The sequence below is a fragment of the Homo sapiens genome, chromosome 9 (assembly GCF_000001405.40).
Source record: "Homo sapiens chromosome 9, GRCh38.p14 Primary Assembly".
In the NCBI taxonomy this organism is placed as follows: domain Eukaryota; kingdom Metazoa; phylum Chordata; class Mammalia; order Primates; family Hominidae; genus Homo; species Homo sapiens.
Window position 1 is genome coordinate 130654592 of NC_000009.12, and position 9881 is coordinate 130664472.

General features: G+C 60.5%; 1 annotated feature.

Annotated features, from left to right (window-relative positions):
* Positions 8445-9286: an enhancer, noted in NCBI's record as "H3K27ac-H3K4me1 hESC enhancer chr9:133538423-133539264 (GRCh37/hg19 assembly coordinates)". NCBI's record gives its function as "activates a minimal SCP1, AML or CMV promoter by ChIP-STARR-seq in naive H9 embryonic stem cells {active_cell/tissue: H9 hESC(naive)}" and the evidence as "EXISTENCE:reporter gene assay evidence [ECO:0000049][PMID:30033119]".

The following is a 9881-nucleotide window of genomic DNA, read 5'->3' on the forward strand; positions in this document are numbered from 1 at the left end:
CTAAAAATACAAAAGTAGACGGGCATGGTAGCGCATGCCAGTAATCCCAGCTATTTCGGAGGCTGAGGCAGGAGAATCGCTTGAACCTGGGAGGCGGAGGTTCCAGTGAGCCGAGATCGCACCACTGCACTCCAGCTCAGGCAACAAAGGTGAAACTCTGTCTCAAAAAAGGAAAAAAAAAAAGAAAAATAAATCCCATGGAAGGAGTCTAAAATTCTGGCAAGCGTCCCTTAGCATGGTGTGGGCACTGTCCACAGGAAACAACACCTCATGGCCAGAACCCAGCTGGTTCTTCTTTGGCCTCGGTGCGTGGACAGCACCAGCAAGGGGCAAGTTCCCAGTAGCTGCCGATGGAACTGACTCACCTTTAACTAAAGTCTCCAGTGACCAGGGGCTGCCAGGGCTGGGCTGGCCAAGCACCACCTGACTCGCCCTTGCTCCATGCCCCCAGCTCCAGGTCCAGCTTGATGCATTGTGGATGTGCATTAAATATTTGCATAATTAAAATAAATACATGATGATCTGAGAGTCTGGCGTGTCCAGAAGGCTCTGGAATATTTGTGTCTTCTTGAACATTTGGAGCAGCAAAATTCCCCTTCGTTGTAACTACAACTAATTGAACTGGTCTTCAAATAAGTTTCTTCCCTAATTATCCAAGGTCTGACCCCAGACACAGAGGAGGGGACAGGTGGGAAGGAGTGAAGCGGGTGGGGAAGGGAATCTAGAATTAAACATCTCTGGCCGGGCGCACTGCCTCACGCCTGTAATCCCAGCACTTTGGGAGGCTGAGGTGGGTGGATCACCTGAGGTCAGGAGTTCCAGACCATCCTGGCCAACATGGTGAAACCCTGTCTCTACTAAAAATACAAAAATTAGCCAGGCATAGTGGTGTGCACCTGTAAGCCCATCTACTCCAGAGGCTGAGGCAGGAGAATCGCTTGAACCTGGGAGGCGGAGGTTGCAGTCAGCCGAGATTGCGCCACTGCACTCCAGCCTGGGTGAGAGTGAGACTCCATCTCAAACAAACAAACAAACAATAGAATTAAACATCTCCTTCCAGGCCAGTGTAACACACATTTTCTGTCATCTCAACAGTTGTGAGCATTGGACTCCCATGGGGTCAGAGGGATAAGCAGATAGGACCCCTGAGGGTTTTATTCTCTGAGCTATGGAGAGGGGAAGGGCACAGGCTTAGAGAGCATTCGAGACTCTCGACAAGCCTCAGTTTCCTCCTCTGTAAAAGTAGGCAAACGCAGGGACACATCTCACAGAGTTGCTAGGAGCTGCCTGCATGTGAATGTGCTGGACCCAATGCTTCACTGGGAACAGAAAGGATCTCTTGAGGAGCAGGGCCATTGCTGCGTTGTCCTCCATGCTGTTGACGGTTTGGGAGCTGGGGTGGTGGGGATGATATGGGAGGTGCTGGGGAGGCACATCACAGGATGGACAGGCCAGAAGCTGGAAGCAGAGGCCGGGGGAGGCTGAGGCCCTGGCTGCAGGGAAGGGGAGGGAATGAAGTATCTTCAGCGGGTCCAACCCACTGCAGCGGGTCCCTCCAGCTCCGATCTGGGGTCTGAGGACACGTCCAGCTGTTTGTGTCTACTTAGGGGGGAGCATTTATGACTGGGCTTCACCATCTCTTTCCACATCCTGACTGGGCCCCCGGGTTCTGAGGATCTGGGCTGCCCTGGCCTTTTGGCAGTTTCTGGAGCTGCCATCCGCTTTGCTGGGATTCAGAGGCTCCCTCGTGCCACCCAGAGGAGGTAGGCAAGGCCGGAGCCCTCACTGTCCTTCCCTAACCTGTCCATGCCACTGTGGCTCCATCTACCCTGTCATTCACTCACGGGCTGAGCACTCGCTGTGTGCCAGGCCCTGGTGCTGGCCCTGGAGACCAAGGAAGATTCAGACCAGATGCCTGTCCTCCAGAAGCCCCAGTCCTGAGATGGGTCAGGAGGGACCACGGAGTTCATCTCTGCACACCTGGTGCCTAGTTTCTGTGCAGTAAACAAAAGCTGCTCCCTGCCCACTTGAACGGGCTCTCGGGGTTGGCAGACAGTGCATGGATCCCCCGAGTCATTGTTCCTCTGGCTTGGATAGCCCTAGCCGGGAGGTTGTAGTTAAGGTCCCAGCCTGAACTCAGGCTGCCCGGATTTCAGTTTCACCTCTCCTCTTTGCTCACTGCGTGTGACCAGGGACATGTCAGTGAAACTCTGCCCCTTCCTCCTCCCAGCCTCTAATGTGATGGCAGGGCTGCAGCAGCCATTGTGTCACCACGAGAACAGAAGGAACCTCAGGCCTCACATCCTTGAACTGCTGAGCCAAGGTCATAGACACATACCCACCTCTGTACTCTGTTATGTGAAAAAATAAATCTCTTGTGACAGCAGCCACTGGGGTCAGGTCCACTTTTGCTTGGGGACAGAGGTGTTCCTGGCTGAGACACTTAACTTCCCTGTGGCTCAGTTTCCCTTTCTGTGAGTTACAGATAATGACAGCAGCTACCTCAGGGTGCAGGGCTGAAGATGGATTGAGATACCCTGGGTGCCTAGCAAATGTTCATTATTTGATGACTGTTGTTCTTCATTCCAGCCACTCTTCGTTAGATACGGCTCACAGACTCCTTGGCGTCCTGGTCAACTTTCTTATCATATGGTTTTGCTTTCAGTATCTCTTTATAGGTGATATTTGGTACCTACCTTTGTTCTTTCCATATTTCCCAAAGCCACGTAGCCATGTGGTGTTTGTTGCTGTTGTTTTTGTTTGTTTGTGTTGTTTTGTTTTGTAGACAGAATTTTGTTGTCACCCAGGCTGGAGTGCAGTGGCGTGATCTGAGCTCACTGCAGCCTCCGCCTCGTGGATTCAAGTGATTTTCCTGCCTCAGTCTCCCAAGTAGCTGGGACTACAGGTGTGTGCCACCACACCAGGCTGATTTTTTGTATTTTTAATAGAGACAGGGTTTCGCCGTGTTGCCCAGGCTGGTCTCAACCTCCTGTGCTCAGGCAATCTTGAACCCACCTCAGCTTTCCAAAGTGCTGGGATTATAGGCGTGAGCCACCACACCCGACCTACCATATGTTATCTTTTATTTATTTATTTATTTATTTTTATTTTTATTTCTTTGAGACAGAGTCTCGCTCTGTCACCAGGATGGAGTGCAGTGGCGTGATCTTGGCTCACTGCGACCTCTGCCTCCCTGGTTCAAGCGGTTCTCCTGCCTCAGCCTCCCAAGTAGCTGTGATTACAGGCACCCATCACCACGCCCAGCTAATTTTTGTATTTTTAGTAGAGACGGGGTTCTCCACGTTGGCCAGGCTTGTCTCCAACTCCTGACCTCCAGTGATCCAGCTGCCTTGGCCTTCCAAAGTGCTGGGATTACAGGTGTGAGCCACCTTGCCCGGCCATATGTTGTCCTTTAAATGTAATGAAGGTGCCCACATTTTTCGTAAGTCAAATGCATCGTGTCTCCTATGAGCTTTTCATGCACTGTCTTTTATCCTTTACAAAAGACTTCCCAGTGGAGGTTCTATTTTTATCTCCATTTCACAGATGAACAAACTGAGGCTCACAGAGGACAAGTGGGTGCCTTGGCTCCTGACCAGTAGCTGCTGGAACCAGACTTGGACCCACATCTGCAGGTCTCTGGGGCCCTGGGCATTTCTTGATGGCCCCAGAGGACCTATTCACCTGGGGAGTGGTCTCTGGGGAGGGGACAGTAATAGGAGTGCCAGCCACAAGCACCTTTTCACCATTCACTCTGCAACTTGAGTGTGAGCTCATTCACCTGATACGTGAGGCATCACAAACAGGCCTGGTTATTGTTCCCACTCTACAAATGAAGTCACAGCCATTTCAGCAGGAGCCCTCAGAGAAAGCTGTCAAGAGAGACCTCAGAGCCACCAGGGCGACCTAGGAGAAGCTCTGGCCTACCAGGGTGCACCGCTTGGAAGGTGGTCTGAGAAGGCAAGAACTGGGTCTGCCCTGGTCACTTGGTGCCCCCAGGGCCTTGTATGGGACCTGGTACATAGTAGGTGCTCAAAAAATGTTTGTTGAACAATGCAATGATTCCCCATGAGGCAGGAGATGGTCTGGATGGCAGCAGGTGGCCTCAGGGAGCAGCAGTCAGGGCACAGCCCCCTGACTCCAACCCCCTGTCTGCTCTGGGGCAATGCAGGGAGGACATTTCAGGTGGAATTGAGTGCAAGGTTCTGGAAGGCAGGAGGCGGCTCAGGGAAGTTGTGGAGGAAGGGCTGGGTGTGGGGTGGGAAGGGACTCGGGCAGAAGAGGAGGTTGTGAATGGGTCGGAGAGGGCTCCTTCTGGCTGCCCCTAGACCCACCAGAGGGGCAGGCAACAGAGGAGGGTGAGCTGGAGGCTGGAGGGGCCAGGGAAGACGGACAGGGAGGGCGCCTGCCTCCCACAGACCCCAACCAGCCTGCCCTCTTCAACCTTTCCCTGCTGTTTTCCCCAGGACTCCTTTTGCCCTCACACTCCAGTCTCTCTGTAGCACCCTGTTGCTCCCTCTTGGTGATCCAGCTCTTGAAAGCCTCTCCAGGCCTCCCGCTCTTTCGGAAGCCGTGCCTCTCCCCCTCTGCTTCCTTCATCTCCGAGTCTTTGTACCCCTGCGTCTCCGACTCGGCCTTTCATCTGCTCCCTCCACCTCGGCATCGCCTTGCCTCAGTCTCCCCCGACCCCTGTCTCGCCCCCTCTGCTTCCAGAAGCCTGCGCCTCTGTCTCTCCCACCGCCCGGTCTCCTGGTGTCCCCGGCGTCTCTCCCGTCGTTCCCGCCGCCTTGATCAGCCTGGGCTGTGGCGCTGGCATCGCTGGCCTGGGGACCGGGGTGTGGGCGATGGAAGGGGGTTCGAGAGGCGCAGGGGAGGGGCTTCCCCTCCTCCGCCCCTGGGCGCCTGGGGAGACTCGCGTGCCAGTCACCTGCCGGTCGGGGCGCCGACTTCGCGCCTACGCACTCCACGTGGGCGCCCCGGGGCGCGCCTTTGTCTCTCCCGAGCCTTGAAAGCTAATTACATTGGGAGGGGACAGGGGTGGGGTGGGAGAGGGGGCCGCTGTCCCCATTCACTGAGCCGAGGCCGCCACTCCGCCGGCAGCCCCGCGCAGGCCTGGCCCCGAGTCACGTCTGTTGAAACCGTTTTTTTCGGCCTCGCCCCCACCCGCCTTGGCAGCCAGCCGCGCCTTTGTACGCGCCGGCGGGGGCGCCCTGGAACCCTGAACCGTCTTACGGGGAACGGGGGTGGGGGGAGGGGAGCGGCGCGGGCCCCACGCGAGGAAGGAATTTCCTGGGCCACTGCGAAAGATTGAGGCTCAGAAAGCCAGAGAGAGACGTGCGAGGAGGAAGCGGAGAGGGTGTGCGAAGCTGGAGAGGGAGTCGGAGCGCCAGCGAAAGAGGGGAGCGCTGGGGAAGGAGGAAGAGAAGGAGAGGGGGAGAAGAGAGACGCGGATGCTGGGCGCGCGACGGCAGCGGGCGGAGGAGGGGAGCGGCCGGGAACCTGCGCGCAGGGGAAGCCAGGACGGAGCGCAGCACCGGCAGGGGAGGGTTGCCGAGGGGCTGTGCCGAGGAGCCCGGGTGGGGGCGGCTGGACCGCGGGCCGCGGGACTCACAGACAGTGCGAGGCGGCGCGGGGGCCCCTCTCCCTATGCGGGGCTGGGGCGCAGGGGCTGGGCGGGGCGGGTGGGCGTCTGAGCGCGGCGCGGGCGCATTCTTCGCCTTTTCTTCCTCGGGCTCATTCCGGCCGATCGATACCTGCGCGGGACCTGCCCCCGCCGCTAATATCTTTTTAATGAGTTCGCCAGGCTTAAAGCGAGCGCGATCTGCCCTCCAGGGTGGATTTTCCCCCGGCAGATGTTTCGGGAGGAGGAGGCGCGCGGAGCTCCCGGGAGGGGGGACAAATCTCTCCCTCCGAGGGGCGAGAACAGGAGACTTTCTTCTAAAGTTCAAAAGAAAGACGGGCTTTCACTCGGCCCCCAAAAATGTATTTCTCGGCGGACAATGGGCTTCTTTCTGCGCCTCTGAGGGCCGGCGGGGCGGGCAGGGCGGGGACCCGTGCGCTTTGGCCCCGCCTGACCGACTCGCACCCCCCTCCCCCGCACCCAGGCCCGGGCCCCAGAGCGAGGGCGCAGGAGCCGCGAAGCCGGCCGCCCTTCCGAGCGTCCCCCTGAAGCGCACTGTCGGGACCTGGCTCTCCCGGAGCTAAGCCCCGGCGCACCGGCGAGAACGAAAGCGTCGTGCGGGGCCCTGGGCTGTCCCACACGCCCCCGTTCTCATAGGTGCCTCAGCCGGGCCGAAGGGACGCGCGCTGGTGCCTCAAGGGGAGGACGAACGGACCTCCGGGCTTGGGCCGCGGCCTCCTTCCCCTCGGCGCTCCGCCCTGAGCGGGGCAACAACTAGAAATTAGCCAACCCCGGGCGGCTGCCGGGCCCTGAGACTGTCTTGCCCGCCCCGGCCCAGCCACCCCTCCGGGTCGCCCCTGCTCTTCTCCTCCACTTCCCCTTCAATGTCCCTCCGTGGGGCCGTCGGCCTGCCGCGGCGGCCCTCTCTCCACTCCCGTGGGCTCAGGGGAAGAGGGCACCCGGGCGGCGAGGATGACCTCCGAAGAGCCGCGGCAAATTGATTCGTTCCGCCCGGAGCCGGGGCCGCGTGAATGGGGGCCCGGGCGGCGGCGGCAGCGGAGAAGAGGATAAAGATGTTCTCCCTGAAAGGGGGAGGGGGCGCGGAGCGGGAAGCGGGGCCATTCACTCCTGGCCCGGCCCCTCGGGAAGCCGCGCCGAAGAAAGGGGGCCGAGGCCTATTCAAGTCCTACGAGCCGCCCACAATGGACCGATATACTGAGGGCCTCTCTATTAACGCCCATGAATATTAAAGAGATCGCCAAGTGGCGGCCAGCGGGCGAGGGGGGCGACGGAGCCTGAGAGCTCCGGCCCGGCCGAGGGGAGGGGGCTTTTGCGCGAGCACATTCCGCGCCTGGGCCCCGCGGAAAATGACAAAATAACACGGGTCATCCGCTGGGAAAGCCCGGAATGTTTCCCCTCGAAATCTCCTCCCGGGGAGATGTGAGCACAGGGTCTTGCTCCCTATTTCAATGCACCTTGAGACTGGGCGCTACCTACGGGCTCCTTTTTCCCCGGGCGGGGGTCCAGGTGGGTTTTGCCGCTAGACTAGAAGCACAAAATGTGAGCGCGGTGGAGATTTGGGCGCACCAGCTGGGAGGACGTTCTGCGCTCCGCTTCTGCCCGGCTCCCAGTACTGCTCTCCGGGCTTGCGGGTCCGGAGGAGAGGAATGGGACTCCCTGGCCGCAGTCCGAGCCCGTGGTCACTGCGCCAGCGGAATCCAAGCCTCTAACTCTAAGCCGGGGTTCAGGACCCAAACGCTGCACCCCAGCACGGAGGATGCACAGACCTGAGGGCTTCCCGCAGTGGGACGTGGCCCTGGAGAGGGCAAAATCCTCGGGGTTGTCGTGGGGTAAAGTGATCTTACCCAAAGAGAGACCAAGCAAAGAAACCTCAGTTCACAAAGTCCAACTCAAACCATTGCACAGACAGGGACACCGAGGCCCAGAGAGGAAAGGGGCAGTCCACAGGACACACAGCAGTCCTTATCCCCCTTTGGTGTCCTGGAGGAACTGAGGTCGCTTTCGGGGCTTGGGAGCTGCCGCAGCGCTTGGCTCCTGGCAGCGCTCCCCGACGTCGTCTCCCTCGCTCCTAGCACTTTGTCCTCTCCACCTAGGTCTTCCCAGAAGCCAAGAAGTAGGCCCCGGTGAGGCTCCCCTGCAGGAGCCATCGGACTCCATACGCCCCCTCAGACTCGAGCTCTGGCCAGGGAGCCGATGCGACCCACAAGCTGCGTCGAAAAATGAGTGGAGGGTTCGGCGACCCTAACCCACCTCCCTCCTCAGCAGCGCTGCCCTCTGCTGGCGCCCTGCCCAACGGTCCTGCCTTCTGCCAGGTGTGCCCTTCCTTGGGCTCCAGCCTCGGGCGGACCCGGACGCAGGGTCTGAAGGCCAGCTACCGCCGCCTTCCTCCCTTTGCGTCCCAACGGGGACGGGGGATGCCGGAGACTACTGGCAGGAACTGGGGACCAGGGGTCTGGAGTCTGGACGCCAGGTGTGAGACCCTCTTAGCCAAGGCGCGTCCGGGTGGTGGAGGGGCGTCTATGCCAACAGGCGTTTGGACAGGGTCTCGCTCATGGGAGGTCAGCTCGCTGTTCTTCCACCCAAGTCCTCCGCGCTGAGGAGAAGGTCTAGGGAGTCCACACAGTCCAGCGGAGACTAATCCGTGAGCCTGACCCACGCCGAGAGGGTCCAGGCACCTCTGTTAGCGGCATCTGAAATTGTAGGCTGGTGATGGGAGCCAGAAGTGCGGCAGGTGGGGTGAGCTCCCTCACCCAGCATGTCAGGGCCTGGGGTCCGAGGCTTGAGGCTGACACTGGGGAGCCGCGAAGCCTGCAGGAAGCGGGGCCTTCCGCTGGGCTCAGCAGCTACCTGCTTCGGGAGAGGGGATCGCTGGGCTCCGAGGTGCCTCGAAACCGCCGCAAAGCAAGTCTGCTCCTGGGATGATGGGCAGGAGGAATAGAGGAGAGGAAGGGAAAGAAGAGAGAGGCAGAGGAGAAAGAAAGAACTAGGAGGCAAGAAGGAAGGGGCGCCGCAACGCCACCGGCTTCCCGAGGTTGCAGCTCAGCAAGGAGCCGGAAAGCCGGGCCGCAAGCCGAACCCGCACTGAGGCCTCTCGCGGAGCTGCCTGCAGTTTCTGAGGGACTTCGCTCTCAGGCACGCCTGCTCCCACCTAGGAAGGGTCTCGGGACCCCTTTCAATCCCCCTATATCCCGTAGGAAATTCTTTTCCCAGAGACAGGCTGCCAGGGCGATTCCTGTCCGCCCATCTCGACCCCCGACCTGGCCCCGCAAGGGCCGGGAGCCTGGCCTTCCATGAAGCTGTCTCAGGCCGGGACCAGCCCCAGCCCCGACGGCCGCTGCGGCCCCGCCTCGGCAGCCCCGTGAGCCCGCGGAGGAGTTTCGCACCCGACCGTGCACAGCGACCGAGTTGGCGCGGCCCGTATGAAGCGAAGCGCCGGCTTCAGCAGCGCAGTCTGAGCAGGGGATCCGCGTGGCAACTAGGGCTGCGCGCGAGCTCGGGGCGACTGTGGCGGCCCGGGGAGTGCAGGGCCGGAGAGGGAAGAGGACGCGGGCTCTGGCCGGGGAGGGAGAGCGGTGCAGGGCTGGGCCGGCCAGCCGGGGCAGCAAAGTAAAGGTGAACGCCGGGCTGGGCCAGGCCGGTGAACATAGATCAGGCCTGAGGGGAGCGCGGGGCCCGAAGCCAGGCGTCCCCTCTTGTCTAGCCTGGTCCCTGGAGTCCTAGAGAGCCTCGCCGCACCCCCTCCCCTTCTCCGTCCCCTCCTCTCCTCAGAGCCGGCTGAGCCTCCCTCCCTGCCCTGCGCTTCCCACGGGGAGAGAAGGAAAAACAGGAGGGGGGAGGAAGGACCAGGAAGGGGAGAGAGGAGTGGAGGGGTACTGTTTGGAGCGGTCCGCGCGCCCCCGCCCCTCGCGCTCTCGCGACGAAGGCTCCTCGAGCCCAGCCGGGTACAACAAGTCTGTCCTCCGACGTCAGGGGGTCATTAATAACCAATTAGGAGGGTCACTGCGGCTCCTATAAAGGCGCTGAGATTTTGCCAAGGGGAAGACGGCCCCGGCCGAGTGTGCGAGAGGCTAGCGCGCGCCTGAGCCCCTTGCTGCCGCTTCCCTGCAACCACCCGCCTCTCACCCACCCTGCACCCCCCGCACCCGCCTCCGCCTCCACCCGCGTCTCTCCACCCTCCGCGCCGCCTTTGCCATCTCTACAGATTTCACCATCTCTCTTCCCCTCTCCCCCTCGTTCGCTT